This window comes from Homo sapiens, chromosome 13 (assembly GCF_000001405.40).
Source record: "Homo sapiens chromosome 13, GRCh38.p14 Primary Assembly".
Lineage (NCBI taxonomy): Eukaryota > Metazoa > Chordata > Mammalia > Primates > Hominidae > Homo > Homo sapiens.
The window spans coordinates 54,371,820-54,391,180 of record NC_000013.11 but is presented as its reverse complement, the minus strand read 5'-3'; the positions used below and the strand labels follow the sequence as shown (position 1 = coordinate 54,391,180).

The following is a 19,361-nucleotide window of genomic DNA, read 5'->3' as shown; positions in this document are numbered from 1 at the left end:
GTAGGTAAAGAAATTTATTATTGCAAAGCGAAAATATACTCTGATAGATGGGTCAGAAGGGACTGCTCAAGAATGCGACAGTGCCATCTGGCACTGAGGCACTTCCCTTTATGGGAGATTTACATGATTATTTATTCATAAAGGGGTGGGAAGGGGTGTTGCTGTTAGGCATGTTGTGGGTGGTTTCCCAAGTCTGCATGCCTAGTGGTTGTACATGCTAGTGCATATATTGCATGTTCACTAGCATCTTAAATCTCCACCCAAGAGTGTTTGTTACTATTATAATGAGCATAATTCACCCCAAGGACACAAATAATGTGTCTCTGCACTTGTGTGAATTTGGGGATTTTTTTCTTTCTGTTCTTTTACCTCTTTGCTGCAGGATATTCTAACCACAAACCCAGGACGTGTTCTGTGCACTGTTGGATGGTTTGCCCTGTCCATCTGTTTGGCAAGTTTGTTCCCCTTTAAGAGAGGCTATGACCACCTTATCTAACCTACCTCGCCACCTTTCTGGGCTGAAGCAATGTATACCTTACATCAATTGATTTATGTCTGTGTCTGTAACTTCCGTTCTCCTAAAATGTGTAAAACCAAAAACAATAACCTGACTGTATTAGTCTGTTCTTATGCTGCTAATAAATATATACTGGAGACTGGGTAATTTATAAAGGAAAGAGGTTTAATTGGCTCACAGTTCCACATGGCTGGGGAGGCCTCATAATCATGGTGGAAGGTAAAGGGGAAGCAAGACACATCTTACATGGCAGCAGGCAAGAGAGTGTGTGCAAGGGGACTGCCCTTTTATTAAATCATCAGATCTTGTGAGACTTATTCACTACCACGAGAACAGCATGGGAAAAACCTGCTTCCATGATTCTATTACCTCACACCAGGTCCTTCCCACAACACATGGAGTTTATTAAAATTCAAGATGAGATTTGGTTGGGGACACAGCAAAACTGTATCACTGATTGACTTGGACATACACTCAGGCCCTCCTGAGACTGTTCCTCAAGCCACGGTCACTCAAATATTTTACAGAGTTTGGTTTGTGTGTGTGTGTTTGTGTGTATAAATTTCTTACAATTGCATCCTACTCATCCAAGCTGAATAATTCCCAAACAAATCAATATGTTTGAAATAAAGACTTGTGGTAGATATTTAAGTTCACAACCTATTTTAACATGAAAATTCAAATGGGAAATATTTTTTGAATGAGTTATAAAATTTATGTTACTTTGAATTCAAACATCAATTGAATATGTGTGCTTATATACAATGTTCTTCAAATTTACAAGAAACGGTTAAGAATTTTAAAACATACATCCATCAATATTTTAAAAAAGGAGAAAAATAGTATATATATATATATATATGTCAACTTACTTTGGAAAATGGTGAGCTGACAAACAAGGGCTACCTGACATGATTTAGCACATATGAAAAAGATGATACCTTCAAGAACATTGAGAACCAACAAGAATCTGACCTGGGAAAGGCTCAGGAATTTGACTAATAGCTGGCTCTAAATGAAAGTCTTTAGAAGAAGCAGTTTGATCTCTAACAGCCTGGAGCCTTTGTATCTAGGCAACTTCCTCAATCTAATAATGAGGAAAACAGGAGGTTATTCATCTGGAGATATTTAATTGGAAAGACTCTGCACTTGGATATCAGGAAAAAGTTAATAGTAAAAGTGAGGCTAAGTTTTTGTATTAGTCTGTTTTCACATCAGTGATAAAGATATACCTGAGACTGGGCAATTTACAAAAGAAAGAGGCTTAATGGACTTACAGTTCCACGTGGCTGGGAAGGCCTCACAATCATGGCAGAAGGCAAAAGGCACAACTCACATGGCAGCAGACAAGAGAAGAGAATGAGAGTCAAGCAAAAGGGGTTTCCCCTTATAAAACCATCAGATCTCATGAGACTTATTCACTACCACAAGAACAGTATGGGGGAACCGCCCCCATACTTCCATTATCTTCCACTTGGTCCCTCCCACAACATGAAGAAATTATGGGAGCTACAATTCAAGATGAGATTTAGGTGGGGAGACAGCCAAACCATTAGTTCTCAATATAGCAAATTAAGGCAGAAGTCTCTATATTTACTTTTAACCCATTGCCCCAACCAAGGGTATTGCAGAGTCTAAGAGAAAGCATTTATAGATTCCTACATTTAGGAAAAGGCCTAATAAGACTAAGTCTCTGTTACCACACTACATTGAGGACTGTTAGCGGATAAACTTTGTTTATGCACCAACTGTTCAAATCATCTTTTCAGTACCTTCCACTTAGACACAAATGTCAGATAATAATCAGCATAGATTTGAGGAAAGCCAGTTATATGAAAAAAGAGTCCAACAAAAGAAAAAGCATGGGAGCAAACAGATAAACAGAGAGCAATTTCAAGGAACCAGGGAATGTTTAGAGAATACCAGAACTTCAAAATGCCTATTAATCTTCAGAGAACCAAGAAATGACTATATACAAACGTTACCAAAAAAATAAAAATGTCAAAAGCACTACAGGAAAAGAAATTTAGACGACAAGAAAGAACTCCTGGAAATTATAAGAGGAGGGCAAAAATTCAGAAACAACCACCACCACCATCACCACCACCACCACCACTACAACGGAGCTAGAGAAAAATGGAAGATAGACTTGGGGATATGCTTCAGAATGTTAGAAAAATAACAGTGAAAGTGAGATGGATACGTAGAAAGAAAAAAGACTAACTAAAATCAATTCATAAGTTTTAACATTCAACTAATACAGAAGTGGACAAGAACAAAAATAAGGATGGGAGGAATCATCAAGATATAATATAAGGGTATTTCCTTGAACTGAAGAATAAGATATATATACATTTTTAAAGCCACACTGCGTACCTAGCACAATAAATTAAAGGAGATCCACAAAAAAACATATTTCTAATAAAACTTCAGAATTACAGAAGGTAAAATAACACTCTAATCTTGTGGGGAAAAAAAGGATTCAAAATGAGAATAACATATGACTTTTTTAATAGTATTGCACTTGAAGACAATGGAACAATGCCTTGTTAATTAATGAGGAAAAATGACTTTCAAGCTAGAATTATACATCAGCACAAACTGTTATTCAAGGGTGAGATATGTAATGTTTCAAAAAAGGTTTCAAAAGACCAGAAAAGTACCTTACTAAGAAAACCTTAACAATCCCCTTGGCTACACTAACCTTAAGACAATCTTCCTTACTCTAGATTCCTGATCTCTCTTCTGTTAGAGCATTTACTTTAGAAAAATTGTCATTGTAAATTATTTCTCTGCCCCTTTGAGGTGTAAATTTTCTAAAAAGACTTGGCAGCTTTACAGCCCAGGAATCTCTTTCTTAAGGACCTGGGAGCTATTCCTTTGAAGTGTAATTACCAAGGAAGGGAGAGCCCCTATATCCTAGTTTTCCTGGAAGGATAAGAGACTGACTTTAGCAGGTGTCTTCCTCCAAGTTGTAAAACCATCTCCTGTCATAAAATATGAGGAGTTTATTTTCATTTGAATAAAGCCAATTAACAAGCACAGATGGCCTGTGATCCACCCACTCCAGTTTTTAAAAACACGCAAGCCCTTTGCTTCAGTAGATAGAAGTTCAGATTGTTTTGTGCCCTTGTTCCCATATTACAAGAGCCTTTAATTAAGTATTTCTTGCCTGTTTAAATTTGTCCAGTTAAATTTTTGCTTTGACACAACTATAGGTTGTGCTTTAAAAGGTAGGATCCAAAGTAGCATTATGTAACAGGAAAGTGATGAATAGAATCTCCAAGCTGATCATACAAGAAATCCTGAAGAGCTGTCAGAGGTTGAGAACATCAGAATACATTGGAAGAAAAGATGGTATCTTAGTCAGCTCAGGCTGCTATAAGAAAATATCATAGACTGTGCTGCTTAGATAATTAATAGATATTTGTTTTTTACAGTTCTAGAGGCTGGGAAATTCAAGATCAGGGTGCAGTTGGTTCGTGGAGAGAGCCTGCATCCTGACCTGTAGGCAGCCACCTTCCTGCAGTGTGTTCACATGAGCTTCCCTTGGTGCATGCACATGGAGAGAGAGATATCTCCCTGACTTGCTCTTCTAATAAGATTAATAATCCTGTCATGGGCATCCCACCCTCTAATCTAACCTAATTACTTCCCAAAGGCCCCGCTTCAAATACCATCACATTGGGGGTTAGAACTTCAACGTATGAATGTGGGAAAACAACCACTAAATTCATAACACATCTAAAATTCAAGAAGAAAAAGCACAGAAATGGAACTAGTAAATTTGTAGATAACTTTCATCATATAGAAAGAAGACATACAATTCTATCATAGAATTTTGTCCTGAATTTGTGTTAGAATATAAACATAATTTAACCCAAGAAGTATCTGGACAATTATTAACTCTATTGAAAATAATAAGAAAGGGAAGAAAAACATGACACCCTACTTGTCTTCCTTCTGAATAATACTTCCATAGTCATCATATTATAAATCTTAAATAAAGGTTGATGGGACCAATATTACCATACAATTATGTTGGAAGGAAGGGGAGCAGAGAATGTACTTAAGAGTGATTAAGCACAAGAAAGCGAAATCTTCAACTGCTCTGTTAAGTGTATGAATTTGTGTCTAAAGCGTAAATGGAAAAATACTACAAACAATGGTTCAAACAGTTGAAGAAGTTGATTATCAGTTCAGAGATTTGGAGTAAAGTGGGTAAGGCTAGAAAATAATTACTTTTCCTTGTAGCCTGAAAATTTTATTCAACTTTTTAAAAGTAAAGTATGTAAAATTGAAATATAATAAAAGCAGAGTCTATAAGAGAAAGAAACACATATGCTTGCTGAAAATGGACATGAAGAAAAAAATGATAAAAGATAAGAGGAGGGAGCAAAAGGAAGAAAAGGAAAAGAATGAAAAACTTGCCATGCCATCTTCATTCTCAGCAATTAACCTTACCTTTTACCTTAACAGAGAAATTAGACAAGATCAGATCTCATCTCTCTTTCTCACTCTTAAAGTCTATATCTTCAAATATATCCGAATTTTCACCTATGCATTCTCCTCTTCTCTTTTTGCAGGAATGTTTGGAAACTGGAATTTTTGCTTCACTTCCTGGTGGTCTCTGTAAAGTTTCTAGCTAAAGTAGTGAGTGCCAAGGCCAGTTCAACACTGTTGATTGTGTGAAACCTGCTAGTGTCCAGCAACATGTAATGAAACACTTCTAGCCCAGCTGTTGGAAAAGCTATTAGAAAGATTTCTACAGGTGTTTCTATTATTTAAGCAACTTCCCATGTTGTAAATGTTTTCCAATTCATGCAATCCAATATCAACCTTCACCTCTGCTATGAAGTGATGCTGCCAAAGAGAAAAATGGGACAGCTTTTGATTTTGCACATGAAGATACTATATTCTTGAGGGTATCTGCCATATTTTATATATATAGTCAGCAAATCTTGGAGGTGTCTTAGTCCAATAATTATTTTGGTATCAGGGATACTTTATTGTTCATAATCATTCCTTGTAAGAAATCCATTTTCTGGATCTGATCCCTTTAATTCTATGGATCAAACTCAGATTTATTTTTAATCTGTCCATTTTCACTGTTTCTTTTCTCTTAACATGCATATATGCTCAAGTTTCTCCCAAGATAAAACACGGCATTTCCATACTTTCTACTAGAAATTTTCCTTTCATCAATAAATCCTGCATATTTTACTTTATTAATATATCTTCATTCTCTCCTCCCACCCATATCCTTATCACTACTACCCCTTCCTACTAATCATTGTAGTTACTGCATTAATCCCTGGTTGTTTCCTTGATCAATTATTTTCCTCCAGCTCTATTTCACAAATATCTCTCCTTTGAGCTTCAAACTCACATATCCAACTATTAATTAGGACATATTCACTGAAACTCACTGTGTCCAATCCTGAAATCAGTTCTCCCTCTTATGACTGTTCTTTCTTTTTGCCCAAAATCACTGCATGTACTTGTCCCAAAAGATTTCTGATTGCTATGACACATTGTTGTCTAAACAGATTTCTGCTTATTTTTTATTTTATTTCCTCTTATACTCCCTAGACAGTCACATTCTCTTTAACAGTCACCAAATTTTAAAAATTCTATTTTGAAAATGTCTCGCAAGTCTAGTCACATTTCTCAATTCCCACTGCCACTCTCCTTATTTAGATAATGGTTATTTCCATCTGGATTTCCAAAACAATCTCACAGCTGATATTTCTGCAATCAGATTTAATCCTCATCTGCCCAATCTTCTCAGAAGAATACAATATATTTGTAGGGATTTTTATAAACTGTATATATGATTCTATGCTCTCCTGGTTCAAGACCATCAATGACTCCCTGTTGCCCTAAGAGTAAAGTTCTAACATCCTTAACTTGGCTTATAAACACCTTAATATCCAGCTCCTATGTTCCTCATTAGCTTAGTCTCTTGATTTCCCACTTCAATATTCCTTCTTAAAACAATTATTTTTGTCATGCAAGTGCGAAGTATTCTTCTTCTCTTCTGGACCTTTGCGCACCTTTCATTTTGCTTGAAATACACTCTCTCTTTGCAAATTATTGTCTTCAACATTCCTCAGGTTTGAGTTAGAGAATCTAACTACATTAAGGAGGGTGTGGACGTTAATAATATGTAATTTTAACTTTAACTAAGTTAAAATATTAATTTTTGTAGGCAAAACACAATATGCATATCTTTTAAAACTTAGGAAATTTTAAGCATATTCTACATTTCTCTTCAGTTCTGCAGACACTTGTCATTTGTACTGTGCTTTTTCCTCATCCATTTTTCAGCTTATTTTAAACTCTTGAACATGCTTTTGAAGTGCAATTCCATGTCTACAGCTAAGCAATTCATTGTTAGATAAGCTACTCATAATTGACTTAATCTTATCACAAATTCTAGCTTAAAATAATATCTAAAGGGGCTCTTCAAAGTTATGAGTTTTGCAGCAGTGTGAACCTTTGCACAAATGTACCCATTTAATGCTGATGGATTTTATAACATTGTTTTGATGAGAAATCATATACTTACATTTAGCTTGTTTTCTGGACATTCAAAATGCAGTATGAATGGGTTTTTAAATTTAAATCAAAAACCATACTTTGTTTTTTCTTTAAAGCATACTCATTTTATTGATTTCTACTTTTATTACAGAATTGTTTTCCTCTACAAGTAGCTAACACTGCATCAAAAGTATATATTGCTCTGAGACCAAATTTACCTGGTTTTATATACAATGTCACACACAAAGCCTTGTTTTTTATCCCTCTCTATTGTCTTCCATTTTCTTACTATACCTACTGCTGTGAGGAAGAGTCAGCTCACAGCCTGATTCAGTGAGTCTTAGCAATGTGAAGCAACATATTCAGGTTTGCATTGTGGGCATATTTATGTAATTTTCCTACCCGAAATTATGTGATATACCTGCTGCTAAAATCAGAGCATTCTTTGAAGAGAAGCAATGCCTTAGTGGAAAAAAAAAACAAAACCGGAAATCATTGTTTTAATCTTCAGTTATTAAACATTGAAAGATTCTTTTTAAATTTCCCCTAAGTTTGCATTTTGAAAGATATTTTAAACTTTTACCATACTGTACTATATCGTGTAGAGAGCAATTGCGAAATATAAAATACTTGAATTCTGGCAAGATCGGCTTACTGCTTCTCCAGTGAAGGGAAAACCTAAGTAGAAGAAAGTATATATAAATATTCTTATGTTTCATAGATCGGAGATAATCAATAATTACCAATAACTACCAGACAATATGATGTATTGTTTTATTTAAAAATAATAAATTTTTATTTATAACTAAATTTATTTATAGTTACAATTGATTGATCATTTCCTAGGATAATTTGATTTTGTCAATAAGAAGGGTGAGGTATTTTATTGATACTACATGAGCTTCTTTGCAGCTGACGTCTCTGCCTGCTTAAAATCCATAGAATTTTGAGGGCCCAATTTTTAAGTCTCTAACAAACTATTATTTTAGTCTAGGTCTATGGTTAGTTTGTCTGTATAATTTCTCAAACAGATTAAAAATCTGTAAAACTAAAATCTCTCTTTTTGAGAGATTATATGGACACACTGTTAATTACTTTTCTGTCTATTTGATTTCAGTGAGACTCTTGACAATAGACACACTAAAAACTATTTCTGAACTGAGAAATTAGAGAACAAGAAGTACTAAGATTATTGCTGGATTTAATTGGCGTAACTTAAGCCTACCATGCTTCCACAAAAAAGAAATGCCTTTGTTTTTTCTCTTATCCCTAAACCATACTTTTCCAACTGAAAGAATTTTCTGGGTACATTGCAGCCATTAAAAGGTTTTAAAATGGGTGCTATAACTATATCCTGATATTGACCCTTAAATCAGCATTTTATGTGAGGCCTTTTAAAAAATTACTATTTAACAACTTTGTTAGTTTTGTATATTATAAGGAGATGAGGACCAGCTAAACTTCCAGCCCAGAAAGCCATCCAACTCTGTGTTCTCTCTACTTTCTTTAAAGTCTGCTTACAAAACAGCCTGTTCTTTTCTGAGCTCATCTCTCTTACATTATCCTGGCAAGTTCAACCAACAACAAAAAAAAACTAAAATTATTTTAAAACCTTTTAAAGATAAAGCTTATTAGGTACACTATCTCCCTCTTAAGGTATCATAGATAATATTTTTTCTAAATATTTTCACCACTGCATGACATGTGTTACTATTCTTCCAGCCTCTAATAAGAATTTTCTTGCCACCATATACTTAACCTCAAACCCAGAGTCACATATTTTATTTAGGTTGTCTGTTAAGGAAGCACCCTGATCCAGTACTCATTTTTCTAATAGTCATGATTGGCCTGATTATTCTGTGTAAAAGAGCAACTTGGAAATCTTAGAGTCTTAACACAGTGATGTCTGTGTCTTCTTGTTTATGAGATGTGTTACAGCATGTGTCACCACAGGGGCTCTTTTTCAGGCTAATAGAGATTCCATTTTTAACCCATTAGCAGAGTCAAGAAAAATGGGAGAGCATGGTAAACAAAGCATTAACTCTTAAAACTTAAGCTGCAAATCACACAGGACATTTTTTGCTCTCATTTTTTTGAGCAAAGCAAGTAACATAATGTCCTCGGTTAAATAGTATCTGCCCAAAATGTATGCCCACCTGGCATATCAGAATGTGTGACCTTATTTGAAAATAGGACTTTTCCAGATGTAATTAGCTAAGGTGAGGTCATATTGGATTAGGGTAGCCCCTAAATCCAATGACTGACATTCTTATAAATAGGCTACATGAAGACACACAGATACAGACATGAAGAGAAGGAGAAAACAGGGGCAGACAGTGTAGTGACGCAACTACAAGCCAAGGAACACCAAGGATTGCCAGCAGCGAACAGAAGATAGGAGAAAGGCATGGGATAGTTTCTCCTTCAGAGTCTCTAGAAAGAACAAAACCCAATGACTCCATGATTTCAGACTTCTGGCCTCCCAAACGGTGACAGAATAAATTTATGATGATTTCAGACACCCAGTTTATGATAAATCATTATGGCAGCCCTAGGTAATTAATACACAGGGGATGCTTTAATTCAAGAGTTTGCAGATGTATAATCTTCCTGTAGACAGGACATTGAATATAACACAAGTTCCAAACATAGATTATTTCCATGCAAATGTGACTGCACTTACAAGAATTTTAAAACTAAGTTTTCAAATTTAGTTTAGGCCTTTATTTTGCAGTGATGTTCTTAACACCTCTTGGTCCCTTAGTACAGAGAAAACTGAATTAAGCCCAATAGATCCAAAGTTATGGCCTATTAGACATAAATAAATGGAGTTCACAAAGCAAAATGACAAAACATTTTGGTTTTGGTGTTTCTTTTTTTTTTTTTTTAACATAGTACACTAAATGTCTTTGTTCATTTGGGGTGCTCTAACAAAATATTTTAGACTGGGTTGCCTACAAACAACAAAAATATATTTCTCACAATTTTGGAAGCTGTGAAGTTCAAGATCAAGGTGCCAACAAATATGGTACTTAGTGAGGGCCCACTTCCTCACAGATGGCTCCTTCCTCACTAGGGTGGAAGGAGCAAGGGCACTCTCTGTGGTCTTTTTGATAAAGACATTAATTTCATTCATGAAAGTGCCATTCTCATTAACTAATCACCCCCCAAATTCCCATTTGCATGTTCCATCATATTGGGCATTAAGGATTAAGATATGAATTGTGGGGATGACACAGACATTTAGACTATAGCACCAAGCATTCTGAGAGTAAATAAACTCAACAAATAAGTTTGATTTTAACCCTTTTATTCTATGTGTTATTAAGAAGTTAGATATGAAAACTAAATTTTCTGTAGTTTTGTTTCTGAATTATATTTTAAATTCTTTTAAAAATATTTTTCTAATACGTGTTTATTTTTACAATACTTATTCTTATTAAAATATTAGTATCTAATATTTTTCTGTAAAAAGACAATATAAAAGATATTGGTGACCTCAAACCCTAAAGATGGAGAAATCAATACCAATAAGAATTTTAGCAGAGTTTAAATAACCAACTTTAATCAGACTTTAATTCTCTCTGTTAGTAGATCAAAAGCTATTATTTTAGGGGAAAAGTATCCTATGAGCATTATTTCTTTGGAACAGAAATAAAGTGAGTATAGTATCATCCAGTGTTCAAACTTCACTTGGTAAAGTACTGTATTGGGAAATCAGTACATTTATCCGTCATTTTCCTATTAGTTGGGATTTATATTACTTACCACGATGGAAGTGGTGCTTAGAAAATGCAATTATGGAATGTAATGTTCCCCATTAAGGTCGGTATCCAGTATACAACCTAGCAAATCAGTCACATTAATCCTGAAGGGCCAGTTCTGCCATATAGACCTTGATACTAGGAAGTCAGCAAGAAAGGCTTCAGTGATAGAGTGAGGATAATTTCTTTTTAACTTGTCTGCAGATAGGGAAGAGTAAAAGAATAATGCACTGGGGTGTAGCCTAGAAGATGAGACTGTTCAAGGAAAAAACAAATGGTAGTGCATATATGAAAACAGTATTTTGCTAAAAAAAAAAAAGCTTTAGCAAAAAAAAAAATTTGACTCATATGCTGGGAAATATTTTAAGGCAATAATCAGAATTTGGGAGGGCAAGTACATTTGTGATACAAATAAAGGTTATCCAAAGTCTATGCAGTAGATCCACGGAATGTTATATTTGTGAATCACAAAGAGAAATGAGAGTTTCGGGACATGGAATAGAAGGATCTTAAGGTCATTGATGAAAATGACTTAGAGATGGAATACAGAACTGCAATGAGGGGCTGAAGGGAAAAAAAGAAAAACACATTACCAAACGATGGATAGAGGTAGCTCTAATGCTCTCTTCACTAGTGTTCATTCTGTAGACAGGCTGTGATTTCCATTTCAGGATGAGCCATTGGCTTTGGTTCCCATTGGCTTGAGGTGCACTTGGTAACACCTGCTCTCCCTTCAGCTTGTGTGCCAAGAGACGCTCAGCTGGGTTAGGCTTGATTAGACTAAATTTCAGTAAACAAGATAAGATTTGGGGGAAAATTTGTGTAAGATATTTTTGAGGGAGAAGTAGAGATCAAATACCCTGGATAAATGAAGAATGACAGAACTTTGAAACACCATCTTAGGTACAAATTGTTTTAAGAAGTATTGGCCCCCATGATTTGCTTCACTGAACAGACGGCATTGATAATGATTTTCATACATAAAATTATGTTTTATTCAGTTCTTGAACTAGGGTGATGGATTGGAGAGCACAGAGAATCCCATTTCCAGAAAATCAAAGTTGATACAAGGAGACTTAGTAACTGAAGAGAGAAACAGAAATAGGAGTCAAATATTATGTGCAGGTTTCTGGTTTGGGTAGTTGAATCCATGTGATTTTTTGTTTTTTTTTGTTTGTTTGTTTGTTTGTTTTGTTTTTTGAGACAGAGTCTCGTTCTTTCACCCAGGCCGGAGTGCAGTGGTGCTATCTTGGCTCACTGCAAGCTCTGCCTCCCGGATTCACGCCATTCTCCTGCCTCAGCCTCCCGAGTAGCTGGGACTACAGGCGCCCGCCACCGTGCCTGGCTAATTTTTTGTATTTTTAGCAGAGACAGGGTTTCACCGTGTTAGCCAGGATAGTCTTGATCTCCAGACCTCGTGATCCCCCCGCCTCGGCCTCCCAAAGTGCTGGGATTACAGGCGTGAGCCACCGCGCCCGGCCTGAATCCATGTGATTTTTGTAAGCAACGTAAGGTGGTAGAAGATAAGAAACACAGGAGTTGAAAGGTTTTGTTTGGGTGAAGGGTAGTGTAGAAAATGAGTTAGTTTGTATATAATAATTCTGAACTAGCAGATAATAACTGGGTAAATTACCCAGAGAAGTGGGAAAAAAATCTTGTGTTGACCCTGGAGTAACATCAGGAATTACATAATAGATAGAGGTAAAGAATATGTCAAAGAAATCTAAGTAGAAATGTCCAAAGACAGACAGAGAGAGAGAAAGAGAAGAAGAGAGAGAGAGAGGAGGGGGTGGGGAGAAAGAGAGTGAGGAACAAGAGAGGAAGAGGATAGAGGGAGAAGAAGATTATTATGTAATGAAAACCAAAGGCAAAGGATTTCAGGACTTAGAGATGGGTCAATAACACCAAATGCTTCCAAAGTTTAAATAAGGTAAAGACACTTCAATATTTAATGAATGTAGCAATAAAGAGATAATTATAATTTCCCACATCCAGTTTAATTAAAGTGACAGTGAAAGAACCTAGACTGTAGCCGATTGTAGAGTGAATAGAAGTTGAGGAAATGAGGATGGCGTTTGAAACAAATGTTTTTAATAAAATTTGCCTGTGACAGGAAGAACAAAACTAGGGCAGTAGCTAGTAGCCATATGGGAATATGTGTTCAAGGAAGGCATTGGGAGGTTTTCAAGATGAGGAGTCAAACACTTAAATGCTGACAAAATGGAACTAGCATTTGCAACACAGAAGAGAGGGGATGAGAGACAGCAATAAAGAATAATTAGAAGTCTCTAAGAAGATGTGAGGGGAGGGAAAGTAAAGCTCACTGAAGAATTTACCAACAGAATCCACCTATTCCTGTGTTATAGTTGGCATTTCTTTTCTTTTGCTTCTTCTTTTTTTTTTTTTTTCCTGATCGCAGAAGTCTGGAACACAGAGGTGAATAGCTTGATAAAGATATCAAAAGCTATCCTGCTATGCGTGATGTACTAGTCATCTTGATCACCTTAATATGAAGATGCTATCTTTAAGAAAATTATTGCTTATTTTTGTTATTTTTCTTATTTTTCTAAGTGTATTTTATTCACTAAGACCTTTTCACAAACCTACACATGTAAATAACCCAGTCAGACTGATCTTATGTTAGCACCTTAGTATGAGTTTTATCAGCTCTCTGTCCCAGTGCAATGTAGGATGTCCACATTATGTGGTTTGGTGTAGGTCAGTATGCTCTTCAATTCTTTTTTCGTGTGTTTACTTTTTTCAAAGCTTTCAAAGTAGCTCATTTAGGAATGAATATTTTAAAACTCCAATGTTTTAGTACATCTACTCAGTAAATTAACACTATTAAAAAAAGCCAGTATACATTTTAGTTATTTATCAGTTGAGTCATAATAACAAAGGATGTCTATTGTTCTTGTGGAAGTCACATGATGTGAAATGTGGGTATGAGGTGGTCTTCAAGTGATAACAGTTACTAAAATCCATAGAGATTATTTGATGTGGACATTCCAGGCATCAGAATCCATCGGCCCTGGCACAGAATGAGTTCATTCAGTCAAGGCATTTGAATTTGGGTTTTGAGAGCCATCTTTATCCTAGTATGGGAATAGTAGGTCTTGGAATAGTAGGTCATGCTCTTTTACATTTTCTTACTTTAACAAATATGCTTACCCATTTCAGCTCTTATTTGAATGTATGTCAAAAGAAAAATAATCATTTGTGTTGTGGAAAATACAGGTGAATTGAACCTGATGACCTCTAGAGATTCATTCAGCTTCTGATTTTTTATTTTATTATTTTATTTATTTATTTATTTATTTATTTATTTATTTATTTATTGAGACGGAGTCTCACTCTGTCGCCCAGGCTGGAGTGCAGTGGCGTGATCTCGGCTCACTGCAAGCTCCACCTCCCGGGTTCACGCCATTCTCCTGCCTCAGCCTCCTGAGTACCTGGGACTGCAGGCGCCCGCCACCACGCCTGGCTAATTTTTTTTTGTAATTTTAGTAGAGACAGGGTTTCACCGTGTTAGCCAGGATGGTCTCGATCTCCTGACCTTGTGATCCCCCCATCTCGGCCTCCCAAAGTGCTGGGATTATAGGCGTGAGCCACCATGCCCAGCCTGATTTTTTATTTCAAAGTGTAACTGTCAGGGTCTAATTAAGAAACCAAAAAACAATGCAAGTGTCTACAATATAGGGAATTTAATTTGGAGAATTAGTTTCATAGGTGAAAGAAAGAGCATCTGACTGTTGGAGATCAAAAGGTGGTAACTCAGCATCTGAGAGTCAATCAAGGGACAGGACGGTAACCCAGAGAACAGCAACAGCAGAAAACCACTACTACCTTAAGCTCAAAGATTATAAAACAGGGGGAGCCCACTGTCCAAAGTCATTCAAAGTAACCTGGTAGCCTGAAAAGCTGCACAGAGGTAGCCACAATCAAGAGGAGTTACAAGGGCAGAGCTTGCTGGAGAAACCACCCAAGACAAAGAGAGAGAAAGGGTTAACCTAGTTTCTTTCCCCCTTCCCCATAAAGCACCATCAGTATTTCCCATTGGCTGACCTGAGCCCAAGGTAACATAATACAAGAGCCCTGCTGTGATACCAGAAAGTGGGAGAGAGTCTGAGGAGCCAGGATTGGCTCAGAAATAAAATACTTTTTTGAGAGATAAAGACAACAATTACAAAGTCTCTGGAGCATAAAATGAAAATCACAGATGTCATTGTCATCATTATTATGTTATCCTTGAGCCAAGTATTGTTGACTTGTTTACCTCATTTCCCTATCCAGTCTGTGCCAGATTGTGTTGGTCACAGATGTCTTTATTTCCAATCTCTCAATCATGGTTAATGATTTGAAATTTCAGTGAAGACTTCTGTTGGTCAAACTCTTACTTATTTAGCTCTTCCTGGAAATAAGAAACCCAATTATCTCTTTTCTGGTGATTCAATTATATAAAAGTAACTAATTTATCTTCCAAAAAGATCAGGCTATATCTTGTAGGATTTACAAAGAGGTATTTTTTAGTTCTGACACAATCTCATTCTCTAAATTTGGACTACAGTATGCTTTAAAATAATGTGTCCACCCTTCTATGTTTTAAGCAATAATTTATCACTAGTTTATTGTATTTACAAATATTTCTACACTTTCTCTTCTTCTTTTTTGATGCTTCAAAATTTTTCATCATTTTCATTTTGTTGCTGTGAGAACTTCTTTTAGCCTTTTCTAAAAGTTAGATCTGCTAGTGAGAAATTATTTTATTAGTTTTCCATCTTCTGAGAATGCCACTATTTTCCATTCATTTCTAAAGAATTGTTTCCCAGGTATCAAATTCGCTGTTGACAGTTCTTTCAGGACTTGAGAGATGTTATGGCACACCCTTATGGACCCCTTGGTTTCAGATGAGAAATCTCCTATTATTTGAATAGCTATCCCTTTATAAGTAATTTTTCCCTGGCTTCTTTCAAGATTATTCCATAATTTTTTGTTTTCCATAGTATGTTTATGATGTGTCTTTGTATAGATTTTGCTTAGCTTCTTGAATATGTGGGCTTATGCCTTTCCACAAATTTGGGAAGTTTCAGTTTTTATTCCTTTGCATACATTTAGCTCCACTCTCTCCTCTCCTTCTAGAATTCTGATGATAATAATGACGGATATTTTGCTATTGTCCACGGGTCCCTGAGGCCTGTGGTTTCTGTTTGTTTGGTTTTAGTCTATTTTCTCCCATTTGTTCAGGTTGGGTAAATTCTATTCATCTGTCCTCAAGTTTACATATTCTATCTTCTATTATCTTCACTCTAATACTGCCCAGGTGCCTTGTTGTGGCAGGATATCATTGCTGTTGTCTGGTGCCCCCTAGTTATGCAGTGTCTCTAGATGAAGTCCCACTGTGGAATGAGAACCCTTTCCCTGGCCTCTTAGGGTCAGCATGGCATTTGGATCAATGATTCTCCCTGTTAGTTTTGTAGAGTAACCTTGTATTTTTGAGTCCTGCCAAGGAATGAGCTTACCTGATCCACCATTGGTTGCTTGATCAGGAGGTGGAAAGCATGGGGCTTGGGTTGTCTTCTGTTGGATAGGGTTTTGTAAGAGTTGTGCTTCTACATCATTCCTCCAGTCCTGGACTCCCTACCCTTTTTCTTCCTCTTACTAACTATACTTATCCTTGGTTTTCTGTTAAGTCATTTAAGGAATTTAAGGAATTTATAGTTGTACTTGGAGGGAAGGGGCAAGCAGAAAAAAATTCTGCACCACCTTGTCTCTACTGGAAGTACTTTGTCTCTAATTAAAACCAGTGGTTCCCTACTGTAAGCAATTTTGCTCTCATACACAGTTGGCAATGTCTGTAGACATTCCTGATTGTACAACTTAGGGGCGTACTACCAGTATCTAGAAAATAGAGGCCAGAAGTGCTGCTAAGCATTGCACAATGCACAGGAGAGTCTCAAGCAAGACAGAATTATTCAGTCCAAATGTCAATAGTGCCAAGGTTGAGATAATTTAAACATTCTCCTTAGGATTAAAAAAAAAATGGCTACTTTTCAAATCTGCTGTAAGGGACATTGTCATCACTTTTTTCCTTTCTCATCATAACCACTAGTTCTGATGAAGAACTCTAGCTTTCTAAATGCAAAGAGCCTTTCTAAATATATGCCTGAGGATTTGCCATTTTTAATTTTTAAAAATGTCATTTTCTTTAATTTGATGCATTTATAAATCAAAAGGGTAGTTATTTTATCTCATGGCCTTGATACTATCTACATTACACTCAGTCAAGAAAATTTTTTAAAAGCTACTAACATTTGCTCCTCCCATCACATTTCACACAATTATATGCACAAAATGGTTTGGGGCTTTGGGCTTCATTAACATATCTTTTCTTTTGCATGCTAAATATAATTTGGCATACACTTTAACATTTATTATTCTAGTATCATTTGATGTTCTAATTTACTCTCTGTGCCAGCATCTACTTTACCACTAATTTTTTTTAAGAGTTGAGTAAAGATCCTGGAAACGTTGCTTTTTTTAAACACTGCTACAGATTTGGGAACTCCCAGAATCAAAGAACAACTTAGTGTGGCAGCTCATTACTGAACTGTGAGCTCTGGATATATAGAGTTACTGCCAAGAAATATTTGCACTTTATAGTCATAGACTTTATTCTTCCATCAATGAGATCTAAAATGGACTACCTGAATGTGGCTTACGCTTCTTGATGATCTTCCTTTGTACAGAGGAATCTTTGTCAATCTCACTGTAACTCTGCCCTTTAGGAGTGGTATGCTGGGGCCAATAAGCAGGCAGGTATTGCTTCTGAATAAACAGCTCATCAAAAGTCTGAGAACAGAAGGTTTCAAATGTATCAAAGCAATTGGCATAGTTGTTCACTTGTTAATTAGGAACACAAAGGCACTTTCATCAAGCTGCCCAGACCAGGGGGCCATCTGCATGACAGCATTGCGTCTCTGATGATAGTGCAAATAGAGCTTAGCCAGAACTCTCCAGGGAAGGCTTGCTGACCTTCCTGCTTTAAAATATATATAAAGCATATGGATGAAATAAAAAAATTGAATATAATCATAGAATAAGCCCCTTTTTTTAGTGTTTAGTCTTCTGAAGAATTTCCTAGGGACTTGTGTCCTATGTATGTTAGTTTTGATAATTGCCTTCTTTTACTGCTACATATTTTAGTAATAGTTGTAATTATTCCCAGTCTATGCGTGTCAAGGTACTTCTAATGCAATAACACACAATGAATTACAATTGCTTTTTAAGTCTTCTGTCTCGTCCATTGTGTGTAAGCTTTGTGAAGGGAGGAGCCATGTCTACCTTGTTTAATTTTATGTTGCCGCTACCTAGTAGAGTTCTAGAAAATAGTGAAATAAGGTGATGTTAGAAAGGATGTTTCATTTTTTTTGGCCGGGCGCGGTGGCTCACACCTGTAATCCCAGCACTTTGGGAGGCCAAGACAGGTGGATCACGAGGTCAGGAGTTCAAGACCAGCCTAGCCAAGATGCTGAAACCCTGTCTCTACTAAAAACACAAAAATTAACCCGGCATCATGGCACGTGCCTGTAATCCCAGCTACTCCAGAGGCTAAGGCAGGAGAATTGCTTGAACCCGGGCAGCAGAGGTTGCAGTGAGCCAAGATTGCGCCACTGCACCCCAGCCTGGGTGACTCCAGAGCAAGACTACGTCTCAAAAAATAAAATAAAAATAAATAAATAAATAAATATGTATGTGTATATATATATATAAAAAGAAAAGATGTTTCATTTTAAAAAAAATGTGGTTTGCTCTGACTTCATATATCTGCATTTTTCTTTGTAAACAAGCATATTCGTATCTCAAATTTTGTTGTATAACAATATTTTTGCCCCACAACACTCTCATATCTGAATGAGGTATAATGAGGTATATCTGAAAGCTATTGAAATGCCTTCTCTACAGCACTGATATGAAATTTTCAATATCACTTATCTCTGTTAATTCTATCCTCTTTTTAAAATATCTAAATTGCTGCCACCATAAACATCAGATGTTTACGCCAGAAAGATGCTGTATGAAGCCACTGCGTGTTTACTTTCCTTGTTGACAGTTCAATCACTGATAATGAATGAAATCTCATTCCTAGGACTCTTCCAGCTCACTGATATGTTTTCAAGAGACAAACAGAAGCAATGCACATGGATCGTCACCTATTATTTGGGTAACCTTTGTGCTTTTTTTGGTAGAAGTAGATGCATCTTCTCTGTGTCTTCACAGTTTTTAATATTTAAATTATAGTCCTATGTATTTGTATGCCTATTTATCCAAATATATTTAGCTGACCCTTCAACAATGGGTTGGAACTGCACGGGCTCAATTATTCATAGATTTTTTTTCCATAGATACAGTTGGTCGACCATATGGAGTTCTACATCTGCAACCAAATATTGGATCTAAAATATAGTATTTTCTGGGCAGGTGTGGTGGCTCACGTCTGTAACCCCAGGACTTTGGGAGGCCAAGACCAGAGGATCTGG

The 19,361-nt window shown here is 36.2% G+C and overlaps 2 annotated features.

Annotated features, from left to right (window-relative positions):
* Positions 7,078-7,620: an enhancer, noted in NCBI's record as "NANOG hESC enhancer chr13:54957696-54958238 (GRCh37/hg19 assembly coordinates)". NCBI's record gives its function as "activates a minimal SCP1, AML or CMV promoter by ChIP-STARR-seq in naive H9 embryonic stem cells {active_cell/tissue: H9 hESC(naive)}" and the evidence as "EXISTENCE:reporter gene assay evidence [ECO:0000049][PMID:30033119]".
* Positions 17,377-18,028: an enhancer, noted in NCBI's record as "OCT4-NANOG hESC enhancer chr13:54947288-54947939 (GRCh37/hg19 assembly coordinates)". NCBI's record gives its function as "activates a minimal SCP1, AML or CMV promoter by ChIP-STARR-seq in naive H9 embryonic stem cells {active_cell/tissue: H9 hESC(naive)}" and the evidence as "EXISTENCE:reporter gene assay evidence [ECO:0000049][PMID:30033119]".